Here is an 18,174-nt window from a genome sequence, read left to right as displayed (position 1 = left end):
CAGGACACCATGGATCACATTCACTTAGCCGTGATGCAGAAGAACCTGTATCTTGGCTGCTACCCCAACCTCTTTGTTTCTCCTTTTCCATTATACACTGTTAATTTGTAACCTATCCTAAACTTGAAAATCATTGGAAGAAAAACCCAGTAGCTGGTGAATCTGCCATCTGCAGTGCTGCAGGCTAATTATTTTAATTTCCATATGCTTGTGTCAATTATCTTCAATTGGAGAACATTACACCTGTCATTGATAATTGTGAGTTATTTGGGTTTAGTTAGTTTGCTCTGTACCTGTGCTCACGCATTTTATAACACTATTCTCAGTTCTTAGTTTAAAATAAGTGACAGTAGACTCTTCATTTTGGATGAACACAGAATTGCCTTCTTAGCTTCCCATGTCTGGACCATCGGTATGCAGACATGTTGGGGTGGCTTTTTAACGTAGTATAGTGAACTGGATTTTATAAATACAGTCTGAAAAATGAATTAACCTTTTCTGAAGTCAAGCAGTGGCTTGGGTGAATATGGGTGAGGATTCTGACTCTTAGTATTTCTTCTACTATTTACTCTCCAGTGAAAGTCAGACAAGTTTTGGGCATCTTGTTCATGGACTAACCACGAGCATTACATCTGACTCACATCATTCTATATTTTATGTGTTCAGCCTAACTTGAGTCTTCTTATCATTCACTAGGTGATGAAGGTGGAGAATCAGAACTTCTTGGAGAGGATCTTCCACTTGAACCTTCTGTCACCAAAGCAGAAAGGAGTCACTTGATAGTGTGGCAAGTGATGTATGGCAATGAGTGAGCCCATGGGAAACAGGTGGAGATGGGGAAGCCGTCTCTTCTGCATGGTTTATTTTCCCTCTATCCTTTTATTTAATGCTCTTTTGTGAGATAAGTTTCACCACATAATGTGTGAGCATTTTTTCCTGTTAACTTTATATTACAAAATCCGTTCTACCATAACAATACAGAGGAACTAGCTGTGTTACTGCACCAGTGTTATAGGTAACTTCAGTATATTATGAACAAATCAAAGAATGTTTACTTCCTGCAAACTGGTGAATTATAGAAAGCAATCCAGATGTGGTTTACTCTGCCACAGTCTAATGTCATTCACTTCATTTGATGGGGTCACTTGTTAGCTGTCACTAATAATGGAATTAATGGGAAACACTTGATAAATGAAACTGTACCGTTAAATACAATAGCTGAGTTTTCCCCAGTGTATTGTAAAATTGACACACACTAATACAAGATGGATTATCAGGATGTATCTAAATGTCCCGAGAGGGTTAAAAGCTAACTGTAAATTACTTTAACTTTCACTTTCAAATCTGACAAATCTTGTTTATATGGTATATAAAACTTTGTTTTCATCAGATTTGGGGGGGTTTTATATTAAAGAAATTAAGACTACACTATTTAAATAAACGTTTCCTGTTTCTGACTTATTAGAGCTCTAAAGTTTATGAGGCCTACTTCTCTGAATATTCTGATGGGTTTTTTTTGAGACCAGTCTCATTTTCATACTGACATGTCTGAAAGATTTATTATTTATAAAGCTTAGGACATACTCTGGGAAGCTTAGAAGATACTTCAGCACTGGGAGGATTTTTTAAAGGAAATGTGTTTTGTATTTCTTGTACCAGAGAATGGTGATGTTGATTGAGTTTTTTCCATGTAAAAAATGTACTTGTTTGCCAAATGTTCCTAGATTGCTCTTAACCTGTTAATACAAGTAAAACTGTAGTGGGGATGGAGTCTGGCCTAAGTACAGAATGAGGGATTTAATTAGAAAAGTTATTTTCTTTTGTTCTGTATCAAACTGCAGAACAGCTATATACTTGGTATTTTGTACGTGAATAACGTTTTAGCTTTTGTGCCCTTTTGAGCTTGAAGGGTTATCCTCAAAGGGGAAAACTATGAAGGGGAAGAAGACAAACCTAAGATACCATAAAGTAAAGGTTGACATTACATATTTTCATTCACAATGCCCATTAAAAAAAAAAAATAGGTTGGGCATGGTGGCTCACGCCTGTAATCCCAACACTTTAGGAGGCTGAGGCAGATGGATTGCTTGAGCCCAGGAGTTCAAGACCAGCCTGGGCAACATGGCGAAACCCTGTCTCTACCAAAAAAAAAAAACAAAATAAATTAACCGGGTGTGGTGGCACATGCCTGTAGTCCCAGCTACTTGGGAGGCTGAGGTGGGAGGATGACCTGGGCCCAGGAGGTGGAGGTTGCAGTGAGCCTTGATAGCACCACTGCACTCCAGCCTGGGTGACGGAGCAAGACCCTGTCTCAAAACAGACAAACAAGCAAAAAATAGATTAAAGTCTGGATTTCACTGATTTTCTTGCTTAATAAGTTTTTTAAAACCACGATGCTGCAATTTTTTCCCTCTCAAGCTTCTTGAAAATGTGTGATTTACCCTTTTTTATCTATTACTCTAGGCAAAGCTAAATATGATTTTTTTTTTTTTTTTTGAGACGGAGTCTGGCTCTGTTGCCCAGGCTGGAATGCAGTGGTGCGATCTCAGCTCACTGCAACCTCCACCTCTCAGGTTCAAGTAGTTCTCCTGCCTCAGCCTCCCAAGTAGCTGGGATTACAGGTGTGTGCCACCCTGCCCAGCTAATTTTTGTATTTTTAGTAGAGACAGGGTTTCACCACATTGGCCAGGCTGGTCTCAAACTCCTGACCTCAGATGATCTACCCGCCTTGGCCTCCCGAAGTGCTTGAATTACAGGCGTGAGCCCCCGCGCCGGTCCGAAGCAAAGCTAAATGTAATTTTATGTACTGTTTTAACAGTATAAACCTATGGGATAAAGGCCCCCAATCATCAGAAGGACTACTGAAAAGAAAAGAAAGCAAACGTAGATGTCAAATTGTCTAAACATTCTTAAGTACCACTGATTTTTTTTTTCTGGACTATTATACAAAGATGTCTGTAAAAAGTATACCAGTGGCTTTTATGCATATACACGATTAGGCTAGATTGTGAAGTACATGGGATTTCATGAGCCAGAGGAGGCATTTGGATCCATTGGGCCACATGTGACTATAAGCACATTGTGTACACAATAAAATTGTAGCCACTCATGTATTAAAACTGTTTTGGTAAAAGCTGTATTAAAAGAATAATTTTTTGCTTGAGCTACTTAGTCACTTTTTTGCAGGGCACCAAAATGTAGGCTACTTTTCCATAGCTTGTTTGCTATGTTTTTATTTCATCTTAAATCTGAGCCATTTTTGGCAATATCTTTTAAAAAATCATTATTAAACATTTATTGGAAATGTTGTATAGATTCACAAGAAAGAGACACCAAAGTGTTTGGGAATTTTAATCCCAAGAAGTAAACATCCCAGAGTCAGATCCCATTTGCTGTTGTTCAGCCATGTTTGTATGACTGAATGTAATTTAGGAAATCAGGAGTTAGAGATGAAAAATACAAACATGTCAAATGGTTGTAATTGCTTTTTTTGAACTTACTGGCTTTAACTTAAGTAATATAGGTGTGTAGTTGTTTTATCTAAAGATGTCAGATTATCTGTGGCCCTGTTAATTAACTGCAGGGACCAGAGAGAGGACAAAAATGCCTGTATAATTTGCTTTAAAGGCTTGTCCTTATGTTTGTAATTTCAGTTAAATATTTTCTACAGATTGCTTCACTTCCCCTTTCCCCCAATAACAAGTTCATATTCTTGTAATGTTTACTTTGGTCAACGTGGTAATTTTTGGAAGAAAATGCCAAAATGTAAGCTTCTCACAAGCAGCAAAGGAATGTAACTGCCTGTAGCTACCACATCAAGGGAGAGAAGAGGCTTGCGTACTTTGGGTTGATCTCACTGTACAAAAAAAGTGTACCCCTATTGGAAGAAATAAGGAATACTTGAAGGTTTCTCCTTTTTTTACACTTGAGTCATGTGCAAGGTTGAACCATATGAAATTGCCAGTGTTCAACCATTGCTGATCTGCAAAAGCGACAATATCATATGCCTCAACCTAACACTTACTCTTAAATGCAGGTTAAAATCTCTGTGAGGCAAAGGGATAATATTCTCTAGGAACTCACTTTTGAGAGTATTTTTCTCTAACCCATGTGGATCTAAATTTTAAAAATAGGAATGAATCTCTTAATTGCAGCTTGTGGAGAGTATAAAACATTTTGAGCACAATATGCAGCACATAACTTTTCAGATTGTGTTTGCATAGAAAAGGTTAAAATCAATTCTTTCAGTTACTGTATTGTTCATTTCTTGTAAAGGTCTTCCTACATTTGAGACGAGACCCTTTAACATAGGCTGCCTTAGTAACAAAATAAAACAGATGTGTCATAATATTAACTGTCCTAAAGAACATGTGTCTTGCAAATGCCATGGAACTGAATATTTATTTCCTTGTGAGTATTATGACCGTTACCAAAGGACTCAACCAGATTTAGGGCTCTTCTTAATTGATCATGTTCAGAAAGGGACTCATTTGGTCCCACTTTGTAACATGGGAAGAGTAGAAGAGAAAATTAAATGTGGAAATCATAAATGCTTTTCTAACAGGGTTATGCTATTCTGTAACACTAAATGTCTGTCTTTTCTCTTAAAAGATTAAGTTTTATTAATTTTGTCATACATTTCTCTATTTGAATATATCTTAACCATTTTATGTTCCAAATTCGTTTTTTGTCCAAGACATTCTATCAGAATTTTACTTGCCTCTATAATCTGAAAAATGGGTTCTAGAATGTCCCACTTGCTGTCTCTTAGAGGCTGAGCTTCATTTCTATGAGCAAAGAGCTCATTTAGCAATGTAGTTATTTCAGTATTTATTTCTATTATGGAATCCCTGGGGTTCAGAATGTAACTTTGTACATGAGATATATATAAATATGTATATGAACATGTATGAGGTCTAGTGTGTTTTGTTTTGTTTTTACCGTTCCTGGGGATCTGAACTTGGTTTTTATTTGCAAGTCCAATAATCTTCCCCATCACACATGTCATTCCTGAGGGTCAGGACTGTTGCCATTTGGCACCAGCTAAAGGTGAGCAGTGGGGAACCCTCATGCTGGTCAGCTTGGCTCACGTGTTCAGGTGAGATATGAGAATAGACAAGAGGGCTTAGGAGAAATGTGGGATCCCTGAGTAACAGCCCACACATGATACTAAGGCATACTATTTGCCAAATTATTCAATAATAAGAGGCAGGGTGTAATGTAATTTTAACGCAGCGTGCTTATTTGTGATCCATTTGCTTGGGCAAGACTCGGGAAGGAAGAATGACTATAAAACTGATCATGTGGCAGCACAATGTGACTCCAGATTCAGTGCAGCGAGATTTAATCTCTTCCAGTGTGTTTTGTTTGTGCCTTCAAGAAACGTGGGGTTTTAACGTGATAGTAAAAGTTGCCCCAGTTGGCATGTTAATAGGACCATTCACTAGATGAAGGCATAGTCATCTGTTCAGTGAGGTTGGTTGCCCTAGAATACAATGACTAGGGCGGCTCATTCCTAGTTTTTATAGGACCTTACCCTGCCTGCCCCTTAGTCCCTGGGGAACAGGGCAGGAGCACCAGCCTCATCACTAGAACTGTAGTCTGCAGTGTCCCCCTTGTGGAAAAACTATCTTTCAGACTAGTGGAGAGAGACTGCTTCAGCCCCCAGGCTCTTCCTTAACCAGCCCCTGATCCCTCAGACTCAGTGTAGGCATGAAAGCCTAGAGATCACAAGGGGCCTGGACTTAATCTTCAGCAGCAGCCAATTTATTAGGAAAGGTTTTATAGTTAGGGGACTTCTCAGAATGCCTTAAATATTGGATAATTGATAGAATTTTGCTTTAAACTCGTTTTCTTTAGAAAGACATAGTGGTATGGTGTGAAAGAAGGCTGTATAACCCAGGCTGTGACCCTAGCAAATCACTTTAACATAGTATCCCAGAGTCCCCCACACAGGGCTGTGGAATCGGACCCTCCTGTGGGGTCTGGGCCCAGGCGTCTGTAAAGAGTAGTGGGTAAGTGTGATATTTAGCAGAGGTTGAAGCATGCAACTCTCATGTATTTGGACCTTTGTTTTTCTCATGTGTTAAAAGACAGGGTGGCTTAGTCAGGTAATCTAAAAAAATCCTAGCTCTGACCCTCCCTGGTTCTGTGGCCCGGCTCTGATTTGCCTGGTTGTTGTCTATACAAGTAAGGACCACTCCTGCTTGCGAGTCCATTGTCGCCCAGTCCCTCATGAGGCCCAGATAGCCAGTGGGTAGGATTGGATTAATTAGAATTTCCAATTTATCAGAATGACACTATACAAAAGAAGCCACATAGTTTAGCTCCTTGCTTTTAACCACAGAACATTCACTCCCACCCACAGACATAAAGGAGTTACGGAGCTGGGCGCAGTGGCTCACACCTGTTATTTCAGCACTTTGGGAGGCTGAGGCAGGCAGATCACTTGAGGCCGGGAGTTTGAGACCAGCCTGAGCAACATGGTGAGACCCCCATCTCTACAAAAAATTTTAAAAATTAGCTGAGTATGGTGGTGTGGACTTGTAGTCCCAGCTACTTGGGAGGCTGAGGTAGGAGGATCACCTGAGCCCTAGGGAGGTTGAGCCTGTCTCCAAAACATAAGAAGTTATAATTTGATTTGAAGCACCAAAGGAGAAGTGGACCAAATAAGCCCCGGCTCCGTGGGAACAGCGACTTCAGTTAGAAGCTGCAGTTCTCAGCTAGGCTGGGAGAGAGAGGCATGGCCAGAATCACCCCGGGAGCTATTCACAGAATAAACATTTTTTTCTTTTTCTCTCCTCTCAAGAATATCAGACTCTATTGGGGAACATGGGGAAACAATTACCAGGTGATTCTGATCCTCCCATTGGGAACATCTGCCCAAGAGGAACTCAGGCTGGGCACGGTGGCTCACACCTGTCATCCCAGTGCTTTGGGAAGGGAGGTGGGAAGTTAATTGCTACATTAAAAGCTTAAAGGAAATATTTTATTTCCTATTAGTCTGTATTCACGTGTCAGGGCTATTTCCTGATTTTTTTTTTTTTTTCTAGAAAAAGCCATAACCATTTAGTTGTTATCATGCCTAGCTTGCATTTGCATAACATCTGATAGTTTTTTCTGAAGTATTTAGCCTATAAATTCATAGTTGATCTTCATGGAAACCCCCTTTTTAGAGTGTTACAGCTTTCAGATGATCCAGAGGCCTAACCACAGATGTGGCCTTGCCCACTGGTAAAGAGGTCCGACTGAGACAAGTAAAGGCTCAGGTGCCTCAGTGGGCGGTACAACAACTGAACACTGGAGGCTACTGCAGGTGTGTTGGGACAAGTGCCACATCTCAAATCAGGAGACTTGGGTTTGAATCCTGGATCTCCTGTTTCCCAGTTTTGTGACCCTTCAGTCACAGTTTCCTTACTGTCAGAAGAGTAACACCCCCAAGGGTTCTTGCCACCTGGCCCTGCTAGGCACTCAGTAGCAGACCTGAGGTTCCTAGATGCCAGGTGTCTGAAGATGACTATGACACTCTCAAGGAGACTGGGCTAGTCAAGGAAAGCAGATGCGGAAATGGTGACGTGATCAAGTGCTGTGGCTGCATATTAGAAGCAGTAGTTGAACAAATGATGTAGGTATGGTATCTACTTTGTAATGTGATAAAAAGAAAAACTGCCTGCAAGTCCTGTTGAATGCAGAATATTCTTATCTCTATTCTATTTACCAGGGTTCCAGGCCATGTCTGTCCTAACAGAACTGTGTTAGGAAGCAGGGGTCGCTTGGGCCTATTGGACCTTCTGGGGAATACTGTTCTCTGTTGTCCCACCCCACCCCCCCCCCATTTTAAGGAAAAGGAGTATCCCGTGAAAATTAAACACAAGATAATTCATACTCTCTTTTGCATCTAAGAGTTAATTTCATTCCTATGCAGGCACATTGAGGGGCATACTGAAGCATGAAAGAGTGGTAAATTTCACATTTTCAGATGTCCTCAAAACATTTATTCAGTATCTGTTGCTCATAATGCTTTATGACAATAATTAAACTCACAGTCACTGCATATAAGTGGGTAGAGCAGATAAAAAGGACCAAATAAGATATTAGCATCATCAGATGTACAATGGTGTGGAACAGTGGCAAGGATGGTCGTATGCTTCTCTACATGATTAAAAAGCTTAGCATCACTCCTTCTAAGCAAGAATGCAAAATTCTGGCTCATATATCACACCAGAGGGGTCTTTGGGAGAAAGGGCTGTCACCTTGGGGTTCCTGAAACATGGCTTTAATGTGAAGTGGGATTAAGATTTTTTGTAGGACGTCTCAGGTACAGAGATACCCAAAGAGACTGGAATGGTGTTTCAGAAACTTGGATTTCCTCATCAGTTGTATTGTCATGATGGTCTCTCATTCACAGGATTGTTGGAAAGAACCAATGAGATCACATAAAGATGTAGTACTCGACAGTTAACAGATACTTGTATGCTTCCCCCACAGAGGCCTCGATTTATTTTCCTGCTATTCTTTCTCATCAAGCTGACTTTCCCCTGCGTTTGGCCAGCCCCAGACAAGTGACAGTGGGTTTGAGTTCCAAATTCAGGAGAGCATTTTCAGCTGTTTGCCTGTTGGTGCATTTTGGCCTGATAGGCTTCTGAGCAAGCAGGCTTTTACTATGTATGCCGTCTACATTTCTGTCTTGGAGAGTTTGCCTGGGGCTGTTCATAAGGAACTAGGAGCAGAAATCTGGCATGTGATTCTTACAGACATCTCAAACGTTGATCCTTCCTGAAGGAGCCTAGCTGGAGAAGAGCAGAAACGGGGCAGATGCCTCTAGGCAGGCCTTGACTGATTTAAAGTCCCAGTCCTGGGCTTCACTCGATTAAGGGTTTATCAGACCTTCCCACCCATATTAAAGCCATGTTTCTGGGACCCCGCAGTGACAGCCGTTTCTTCCCAAAGACCCCTCTGGTGTGTTAAGATGTGAGCTGGAAGTGAGCAACTCAAAAACCAAGTCATGGTAAAGAACTGTAGGTTTTGGGGCCAGGCTCGGTGGCTGGCTCATGCCTATAATCCCAGCACTTTGGGAGGCTAAGGCAGGAGGATCGCCTGAGCTCAGGAGTTCAAGACCAGCCTGGGCAACAAAGTGAGACCCCCATCTCTACAAAAAAATAAATTAAAAAATGTGCCGGGCATAGTGTCACGCACCTATAGTTTCAGCTACTCAGGAGGCTGAGGTGGGAGGATTGTTTGAGCCCAGGAGGTTGAGGCTGCAGTGAACCAAAATCATGCCACTGTACTCCAGCCTGGGCGACAGAGCAAGATCCCGTCTCGAAAAAATAAGAAGTAAAAAGTAAGGCCAGGCATGGTGCCTCACGCCTGTAATCCCAGCACTTTGGGAGGCCAAGGCAGGAGGATTGCTTAAACCCAGGAGTATGAGACCTGCCTGGGCAACATAGCAAAACCTATTTTAAAAAGAAGAAAAAGAACTGTAGATTCTAGTCCCTCCCTACCACTGCTCCATCAAAAGTCATCTCATCTCTCTGAGTCCCCAGTTGTAGTTGTCCTTGGGGACAAGCACGGACTTGGCTTGGATGCCCTGTAAGGCTATGTTCAAGGTGACATCCTTTGAGGGTGGGCCGTCTCTTCCATTGCAACTTGGGTTGTGTGGACTAGCAGCCTTCATGCCCAGCCAGATCCCAATAGTCACAAACGTGCTCAGATCCTTAATGGAGAGAATCATGTAGCCTGCACCACTTGGTACAAACTGCTTTGTTTGACGCACCAGTTTGTCCCGAGGCATCGGGATGAACCCTTCCATGAATGGGAGGAATGTGTCTTAATTAGGAAGAGAGACACTGTTGAGTTCTCTGGGTCCTAGACTTCCTTTGGGTCTTTTCCTTCTTGAACCTTTTGGAAGTCTCCAAAAGGCTACTTTAGGATGGCATTAGAGCCTTCGGGGAGCTTCTCCCAAGGGCCCCTTTGGCAACTAAGGTGAATGGCTGAGAGGTGAAGATGAATTAGGAGGATCCTTGGCTTTCTGCCACCACCCACTCCCAGAGCAGGAAAGGGGTTGGGGAGAGGAAAGCTGCCTTGCTGGGGAGAGACCCAGCTCTGCTCCCTTTTGAACACACGGTGGCGCCATGTTAGTGTTACCTTTCCTCCCTTCCGCTTGCCAGCACCCAGAGCCTACCAGCCCCTCAGCCCTCCTCTTCATCCTCAGTGGGCTGGCGAACCCTGCATGACAGCAGGCCAGACCAAGGAGGGTGCTGCACTACGGAGGGTCAAGTTGTAGAGCCGAGGGAAGCAGTTCACTTTACTAATAATCAACCTGAGACCAAGAGTGGCAGCAGAGGTGGGACTAGAATCTTGACTTCATTCTGTGCATTTTCCACTGGCTGCTCCAGATTCTCATAGCCCTGGGTTCTTCTCAACCCCTTTCCTTTGCCAGGGGCAGGGAAAACAGCTTCTCTCAGCCCCCATCATGCGGCCCATAGCCCAGGGACCCAAGCACCTAAAGCCTGGGACCATTGCTGAGGTCAACAGGGTTGATATGGATGAGAGAAGAATTGACCCAAATGAAAGAAGGGGCCAGGCACGGTGGCTCACGCCTGTAATCCCAGAACTTTGGGACTCCAAGGCAGGCAGATCACCTGAGGTCAGCAGTTCGAGACCAGCCTGGCCAACATGGTGAAACCCCGTCTCTACTAAAAATACAAAAATTAGCCGGGTGTGGTGGTGCACACCTGTAATTCCAGCTATTCTGGGAGGTTGAGGCAGGAGGATCACTTGAACCTGGAAGGCAGAGGTTGCAGTGAGCCGAGATCACACCACCACACTCCAGCCTGGGTGACAGAGCGAGACTCCATCTCAAAAGAAAAAAGAAAAAGAAAAAGTAAAAAAAGGATGAAAGAAGGGAATCTTTAAAAGCATCCACGCTATCAATTTCTAGTCTTTGAAGTTTCAGAAGAATTTCTGCGGCTGCTGCTTCTGAACAAGGCTAAAAGAAATGTCACGGAATCAGCTTAGTGAGTTGCTTCAATGGAAACTTCATCCAAGGCCGATAATAAATAGCAGTTACATAACTCAGCAGGTCACAGCACTAACTAAGCCCTTTGTAGGCCATCAATCCACATTTATTTCCTGGATTTTATAACTGCTGCTGAAAGGGAGAAAAGGAGGGGCTGAGGATTAGGGGGAGAGAATCTGTGTGCCTGGACGAAACCTCCAAGCCTATTTTCCAGCCTCCTCTCCCATACGCCACCTCTGCAGCTAACTCTCAGGGGGACGTGCCGAGTTCCAGCACATCCAGACACTGTGGCTCCATGCCGGGAAACCAGACCCCTGTCCCAGCTGCCCTGAGTAGCCAAGAGCTTTAGGCTGGTCATTTTCTCTCTGTCCTGTTTTCTGTAAAATGACAGTTGGGCTAGATGAGTTCTAGGATGCTTTTCTGCCCCATGATTCTAAACATTAGGACAGAAGAGTGGGTACCATGTTTGTTTCCCTCACTCCCATGCCCCAGTGTTAGCTGCAAGATGCTGTTGGATCCTCTTGATGGAGACGGGGGAAGAGCATGATCCCAGCCAACTGACACATGGCACAGCAAGGGGGCAGGAGGGTCAAGGCTGCCCTGGCTGGGATGGGGAGCTGGGAGTGCACAGAGTAAAGGGCCCTTGCCGCCTCGGCCTCACTGTCCGGACACCCACATGAGCCAGAGCCAGCATGGACTACACAGCTTCCATGGGCACAGGGGAGTCGGCATAGGCCTGGAGGAAGGGGCGCCTAATAGTAGTGTTCACCATTCTCAAGCCTGGGGAGTTTGATGCCCAGGTTCAGGGCTGTTCCAGAATGCTTAGGTGGGTATGAATGCCCAAAACTGCAGCCGACAGGTCCCAGATGCAGCTTCTGTCTCTCGCCTCTGCTGGGGTCATGGGAGACAGCTCCCCCAGTCTTCTCCACCCTTGCCCAGCCTCCTGTGCAGAGCCACAGGCAGATCCTACCAGCTGGGAATGTCCAGTATGAAGCAGGTTGAGGAAGGGAAGGGCCTGGGGAAGAAATTCACTGGGGAAGAGGGAGGATGTCAGAAGATTTGTGGCATCAGGAAATGACAGGAAAGCCGGAGGGGAGTTGGAGTGGCTGGAGAGGTGAGAGTCCCTGGGCAGAGCCTCTGGTGAGCAGCCTTCGGGTCTGGGTCCGGGGCCCCTTTCCTTCAGGGCCCGGCCGGGCAACTTGCGGGGATGGGATAATGCCTTAGGGAGTCCAGGAGCCCCAGCCCAGACTGCCCCTCTTGGGGTGTGAAGCCCCTGCAAGGGCTGAGTGGCAGAAAGCAAGGGTGGCCGCAGCCACTGAGCATCCCTGGGAAGGGATGGGGCTGTATAGAAGGGGCACCTGGGGACAGGTGGGCAGTCACAGTGTCTCAGCCCGCTGGGACTCACAGCAGAGCTCATCTGTAGAAGAGAAGGTAGAGGTCAGATGTTACATGGGAGGAAATTTCCAATAAAGACAAAAGTGCTTCCGCGGAGAGGGGACCTGGAGATTGGGACTCTGCTCATACTCGCTTCGCTGCACGCGGTCACTGTGGTGTCCTTGCATCCCTCTTGCCCCTCCCTCAGCGCTCTGCCCTTCCCCAGTTCCTGCTGCTTCCTCTGCAGGAACAGCTGCATGTCTGGGCTTGTCAGGGAGTCAGCTGCGTCTCCAGACACAGACGCAGGAGGCCCAGCACCACCCCCAGCCTGATGCCGTCACTGAGGTTTGGAAGGTGGTGGTCTCCTCCCTGTTAAACTGAGACCCAGAGAGGGGGAGTGTGTTTTAATTCCCCAGACCCAACAAGTGAGTAGTGCCAGAAAGGGCCCTCGGGGTCCCATCTCTCCAGGCGGCCTCAGGTCAGTTCCCTCCCGCTGTGGTAGCCTCATCAGCTAATTCTGCCTCTGTTGGATCAGCCAGCAAGGCAATGCTCAAGGGGGCTGGGTGGCGACTCCAATTTGGGTGCACCAGCCAGTCCCAGGGGTGAAGGCAGTGACTTATTTGGGAATTATTTTTGTAGAGGAGACACTTGACTCCACGGCTGTTGAGGCTGAAGCTACCCAAGTGACCCCTGAGCTGAGTGGCAGGGAGGGCTGGCGGCTCCTGGACTCAGCTTCACACCACCTCCCAAGGTGTTCTCAGCCATGCCCCTACCTCTGCACAGGGCCACTCCTAAACAAATCCTCCTGCCTCCCTGGAGCTTGAAGGAGGTGCTTTGCCTCCCATCCTCTCCGCAGTCTCCTCTCCCCTCGGGGATTGGTCACGTGGAACCCTGTTGGAGCCTGAGGGGTGAGATGGTGAGTGCCCAGAGGGCAACGGTGGCTGGCTCCTTCCAGAGCCCACTTTTTCTTTCTTTCTTTCTTTCTTTCTTTTTTTTTTTTTGTTTCTTGGGACAGGGTCTCCCCTCTGTCGCCCAGGCTGGAGTGCAGTGACACAATCATAGTTCACTGCAGCCTCAACCTCCCAGGCTGGAGCTATCCACCTACATCAGCCCTCCGGGCAGCTGGGACTACAGGCACACACCACCACACCCAGCTAATTTTTTTTTTATTTTTTGCAGAATCAGTGTTTCGCCATGTTGCCCAGGCTGGTCTCGAACTCCTGAGCTCAAGTGATCCTCCTATCTCAGATTCCCAAAGTGCTGGGATTACAGGTGTGAGCCACCATGCCTGGGTTTTCCTTGTTGATAAATGAGCATGGGATTGTTCTAGAGAAACTGTGCCATGAGCTGGGTGGGACAGGAGCATCAAGATCATTTCAGAAAGTTCTCTCGTGAAAGCCAAAATATGTGCCTACTCCACCTCTGCCCGCTAGCTACCATGTCCCAGGCCAAAAAGTCCTTAGGAGAGGAGAATCCCATGCAACTGTGGAGTGTGTGCTGGGCCCAGTCCTGGGTTCCTCATCCATTGCCTGCCTTAATCCCCAAGGCGGCTGTGGGGCACAGATTTCCCCATTTGACAGGACACCTCAACCAGCGGTTCTCAACCTCACTAGTACTGACATGTGAGGCTGGGTGCTTCTTTGCTGTGTGGCCTGCCCTGTGCATTATAGGATACATAGCAGCATCCTTGGCCTCTGCCCACTAAATGCCGGTAGCATACCCAATTTCTCCAGACATGTTCCTAGGGGGCAAAATCGTCCCTACTTGAGAACCATTGTCGTAGACAGTAAGTGCCAAGGACTCCAGGATGGGCCCTTGTTTGAACCTGGATCATCCAATTCTAAAGCCTGTCCACTTGCTTTTCTTTTCTTTTTTTTTTTTTTTGTGAGACAGAGTCTCACTGTGTTGCCCAGGCTGGAGTGCAGTGGCATGATCTCAGCTCACTGCAACCTCTGCCTCCCAGGTTCAAGTGATTCTCCTGCCTTAGCCTCCCAAGCAGCTGGGGTTACAGGCTCGTGCCACCATGCCTGGCTAATTTTTGTATTTTTAGTAGAGGTGGGGTTTCACCATGTTGGCCAGGCTGGTCTCGAACTCCTGACCTCAGGTGATCCACCTGCCTCGGCCTCCCAAAGTGCTGGGATTATAGGCATGAGCCACCACGCCCAGCCCACTTGCTTTTCTTCCTATTGCCTTTTTGGGAGTAAAATCCTTTTTGAAATCTGATGACAGCTATATGATCCTTATCCTGGAACAAGGCTCCTACCTTCAATTTCAAGGAGTTTGTGGGTACCAGGTGCTCATTCATGGAGAGAATATTAAGGACACCTGCCCACAGGGAAGCAGAACCAGATGGGAAGAGGCTGAATCAGCCTGCCCTCCTTCCTCTGACCCCTGTGTGATCACCCTGTGACTGGGGTGCGGTGTGTGTGGGGAGAGGGAGGTGAAGGCGGGATTGCCAAAGGCAGAGACATCTGCCCTTTTTGGACAGCTGCCATGTGAGCACGCCCCTGTGTGCCCTGAGGTGGGCAGCTGTGCCAGCCCACGTGCCGAGCCTCACTCATCACCTTGCAGATGGGTGGCCCTGACTCAGCTGGCTGGATACCAGCTGTGGTTGTCCCATCCCAGAACATACTTCCTGTGACTGAGTGACCACCACACTTACCCAAGCATACCTGCCCCTGAAAGCAGAGGAAGGGGCCCAGAGGACTCAAGAGCTGGCCTTTTGTTCTGAGTTCTAGAATGCCGTGATGGTGGAGGAGGGGAGTGGAAGAGCTTCAAGATTTCAGGAACTTCCAAGTCCCTGGCTTTGTAGCATGTTGTAAAGACACGTGGGCCTCAGTTTCCCTGCTTATAAAATGAGAGCATTGGACTGGATGATTTCTAATAATCCATACCCATTGAGCATTTCTTTTTTTTTGAGACGGAGTCTCGCTCTGTCACCCAGCCTGGAGTGCAGTGGTACGATCTCAGCTCACTGCAAGCTCCGCCTCCTGGGTTCACGCCATTCTCCTGCCTCAGCCTCCCGAGTAGCTGGGACTACAGGCTCCCGCCACCACGCCCGGCTAATTTTTTTGTATTTTTAGTAGAGATGGAGTTTCGCCATGTTAGCCAGGATGGTCTCGATCTCCTGACCTCGTGATCCGCCTGCCTCGGCCTTCCAAAGTGCTGGGATTACAGGCGTGAGCCACCGCGCCCGGCCCGAGCATTTCTTACGTGATAGGGTCTTCATGTCCATTCTATCATTTAATTCTTTTTTATTTTATTTATTTATTTATTTATTTTTGAGATGGAGTCTGGCTCTGTCGCCCAAGCTGGAGTGCAGTGGCACATCTCAGCTCGCTGCAACCTCCGCCTCCTGGGTTCAAGCGGTTCTCCTGCCTCAGTCTCCGGAGTAGCTGGGACTACAGGCATGGCTAATTTTTGTATTTCTAGTAGAGACGGGGTTTCACTATGTTGGCCAGGCTGGTCTGGAACTCCTGACCTCAGGTGATCCTCCCACCGGGGCCTCCCAAAGTGCTGGGATTACAGGCATGAGCCACCACACCCAGCCTATCATTTAATTCATGCAATGCCCTAGGAGAGAGGGGCTGTGATTATTAGCCTCACATTACAGCTGAGGAAGCTGAGACTCAGAGAGTTTAAGTAACTTGCCCAGGGTCGCGAGGCCAGTAAGTGGAAGAGGGGTGGGTCCCCTGCCCAGGTCTGACCCAGCAGCATCGTTGAGGATGTCAGTGACGCAGGTGAGAGGCTACGAGTGTCCAGGAGAGTAATGCAAGGGTGACCTGCGGAGGGAGGAGGGGCAAGATCAGGCACCCCGCCCAGTGTGGGGAGCGGCTGAAGATGACTCGGAGGTTTGGAGGGTGGCGGTGCTATTAATAGAAATAGGGAAGTCAGGAGGAGGAGCCGGTTTAGGGCTAGAAGATGATGAATTCATTCTTAGGCATGTGGACACGGATTTGCTGACAGTGGGACCTTTAGGCCAAGATCCAGCCACAGTTCAATTAGGAAAAATCAGCACCTACGAAGTACCTCTAAACGCCAGCAACAGCCTTACCAAGATCAAATCCCCAAACCACTCACACGGCAAGGCTTCCCAAGTCACTGGCTGTGGGCTGAGGCTGCAGTGATGAGTCTGCAGCAGCCATGCCCACGGCTCAGGTTCAAGTCCTGCACTGACCACTGGGGGTCACCGCTGGCGCGCAGACCTGGTGCAGCCGTCCAGGGGGTGCCTGCGGCAAGGCCGACCTAGGGGAAGGGGCGCAGTGGGTTTCAGGGAGCCAGGCTCCCCCTCGACAGGGAGGCAGAGATCTCTTCCTCCTCTTACAGGGGTGGGAGGGAGAGAGGCTGGCAACTGCTTCTTCCAGGCTGTCATCTGGCAACAGTTTTCAGGGCAGCCTGATTAACCTTGAATCTAGTTCTGTTGACGTAGCACCAGGGGAAGGGTGAGGGAGCAGAGCCCCCTTCCCTGAGTTGGCAATGAAGCTCTAGGGGCCTGCCTGGGGGACATCGTGTCCGGGGCAACCGGGGCAACCAGGGCCTGCGACCTGGGGCAGTGGAGCCTGGGAGCTGAGTCCCAGCTGTTCCAAGCCTCATGTCTCCCCTGGCATCTGCGTCAGCAGCTCTGCCCTTTGACTTTTAATTCCCAGGAGAGGAGGGTGGAGGCAGTCTTGGCCATCGGGACTAATTATTTGTGATTCGATTCAACCAGCAGTTTATTGGGGTTTGGACTGGCTTCCTGCTCTCCTCTCAGCCTCCCACACCCCAGCTTTATGGCCCTGTTCTCCTTCGGAAGCTGAGAACAGAGAGCAGGAGTGGCTCTGCAGCAGACACCCCGGTTCCTCTTGGTCTCCTGATCTCGGGATGTCCTGTGGGAAGTTAAGCTTATAAAATGCTTTGAGTCCCTAGAGAGAGGTGGCCCCAAGCTCATGCCCAGCCCAGGCCCTGGGCCCTCCTAGGCCGGCCTCCTGTTCTACCTGGGCTTGTTCGGACCTGTCCCCAGGTGGGCCGGGCTGGGCCAGGAGAGGGGCGCCAGCCTCCCAGCTGTCCAGGTTAGGGGGTGCAGGGCTCAGAAGGGATGGGGGTGGAGCAGGCACCGTGGAACCTGCGAGGCTCCCAGGCCCCAGGGCCCCTGTCAGCGTCTACTGTCCCTCTATATTCGGCCACAGCGTTATTGCCATGTCCTCTCGGGACAGGCAGCCAGCCCGACCCATGATGTCTCCTCCAAGGGCCTGGACTATTTTGGAACCAGCCTTGGGGGTGCTGGGGGAGGCCGAGGTGGGGTTTAAGGGAAGATTGCCTCGCGGCTCCCGGTCAGGGATGAGCAGAGGGTGTGTGGCATGGGGAACTGGCCCCTAGGCCCTTCTCAGAATTCCCAGTACAGTTACGTGAATGTTCCTTCTGCTCAGGTTTCCTGGGGATGCCTAGGCTGGGGCCTCAGGGGCTGAGTCTGGGCAAGAACCCAGCCCCTCCTCCCCCCGGGAGAAGCTTCCAGCTGTTTAGATTCATCCCTCAATTAAAAAACATTGCCCCCCTGTGCCAGGTTTCACCCAGAGCCACGTACAAGCTAGCCCAGTGGGTCTCAGCCTTTCGGATTTCTCACATCACTAACATTTCAAAAAAATAAAAAAATTTAGGATCTGACGTCGTCACCAGTTTTGTTTTTGCGACAGAGCCTCGCTGTGTCACCCAGGCTGGAGCGCAGTGGTGCCATCTCAGCTCACTGCAACCCCCGCCTCCTAGGTTTAAGCGACTCCTGTGCCTCAGCTTCTCGAGTAGCTGGAATT

The 18,174-nt window shown here is 47.6% G+C and overlaps 1 protein-coding gene and 1 long non-coding RNA gene across 11 annotated transcripts in view, besides 8 other annotated features; both read left to right on the top strand.

Annotated features, from left to right (window-relative positions):
- Positions 1-4,910, top strand: part of SPAG9 (sperm associated antigen 9) — a 158,695-nt gene extending 153,785 nt beyond the window's left edge. For all 10 annotated transcript variants that reach the window (NM_003971.6, XM_005257771.4, NM_001130527.3 and 7 more), the window contains one exon: positions 697-4,910. In NM_003971.6, coding sequence (NP_003962.3) covers positions 697-812 — 116 coding nt within the window. In that variant the 3' untranslated portion in view covers positions 813-4,910. The remainder of the gene's footprint in view (positions 1-696) is intronic.
- Positions 11,830-12,510: an enhancer, noted in NCBI's record as "H3K27ac-H3K4me1 hESC enhancer chr17:49031935-49032615 (GRCh37/hg19 assembly coordinates)". NCBI's record gives its function as "activates a minimal SCP1, AML or CMV promoter by ChIP-STARR-seq in naive H9 embryonic stem cells {active_cell/tissue: H9 hESC(naive)}" and the evidence as "EXISTENCE:reporter gene assay evidence [ECO:0000049][PMID:30033119]".
- Positions 11,830-13,202: a biological region, named in NCBI's record as "MED14-independent group 3 enhancer GRCh37_chr17:49031243-49032442".
- Positions 12,003-13,202: an enhancer, noted in NCBI's record as "MED14-independent group 3 enhancer chr17:49031243-49032442 (GRCh37/hg19 assembly coordinates)". NCBI's record gives its function as "activates an origin of replication core promoter dependent on BRD2, BRD4, P300/CBP and CDK7 cofactors, and independent of MED14, by STARR-seq in HCT116 cells {active_cell/tissue: HCT116}" and the evidence as "EXISTENCE:reporter gene assay evidence [ECO:0000049][PMID:35650434]".
- Positions 12,511-13,191: an enhancer, noted in NCBI's record as "H3K27ac-H3K4me1 hESC enhancer chr17:49031254-49031934 (GRCh37/hg19 assembly coordinates)". NCBI's record gives its function as "activates a minimal SCP1, AML or CMV promoter by ChIP-STARR-seq in naive H9 embryonic stem cells {active_cell/tissue: H9 hESC(naive)}" and the evidence as "EXISTENCE:reporter gene assay evidence [ECO:0000049][PMID:30033119]".
- Positions 14,903-15,404: an enhancer, noted in NCBI's record as "H3K4me1 hESC enhancer chr17:49029041-49029542 (GRCh37/hg19 assembly coordinates)". NCBI's record gives its function as "activates a minimal SCP1, AML or CMV promoter by ChIP-STARR-seq in primed H9 embryonic stem cells {active_cell/tissue: H9 hESC(primed)}" and the evidence as "EXISTENCE:reporter gene assay evidence [ECO:0000049][PMID:30033119]".
- On the top strand, positions 15,553-18,031 carry LOC124904029 (uncharacterized). Its single transcript, XR_007065849.1, has 2 exons — positions 15,553-16,131; positions 16,332-18,031. It is a non-coding gene; the product is annotated as an uncharacterized LOC124904029 (long non-coding RNA).
- Positions 16,045-16,571: an enhancer, noted in NCBI's record as "H3K4me1 hESC enhancer chr17:49027874-49028400 (GRCh37/hg19 assembly coordinates)". NCBI's record gives its function as "activates a minimal SCP1, AML or CMV promoter by ChIP-STARR-seq in naive H9 embryonic stem cells {active_cell/tissue: H9 hESC(naive)}" and the evidence as "EXISTENCE:reporter gene assay evidence [ECO:0000049][PMID:30033119]".
- Positions 16,045-16,736: a biological region, named in NCBI's record as "Sharpr-MPRA regulatory region 1122".
- Positions 16,442-16,736: a silencer, noted in NCBI's record as "tiled region #1122; K562 Repressive DNase unmatched - State 1:Tss". NCBI's record gives its function as "represses a minimal TATA promoter and a strong SV40 promoter by Sharpr-MPRA in K562 cells {active_cell/tissue: K562}" and the evidence as "EXISTENCE:reporter gene assay evidence [ECO:0000049][PMID:27701403]".
- Positions 18,032-18,174: the final 143 nt, after the last annotated feature.

Source organism: Homo sapiens, chromosome 17 (assembly GCF_000001405.40).
Source record: "Homo sapiens chromosome 17, GRCh38.p14 Primary Assembly".
In the NCBI taxonomy this organism is placed as follows: Eukaryota; Metazoa; Chordata; class Mammalia; order Primates; family Hominidae; genus Homo; species Homo sapiens.
This window is presented reverse-complemented; position numbering and strand designations above follow the sequence as displayed.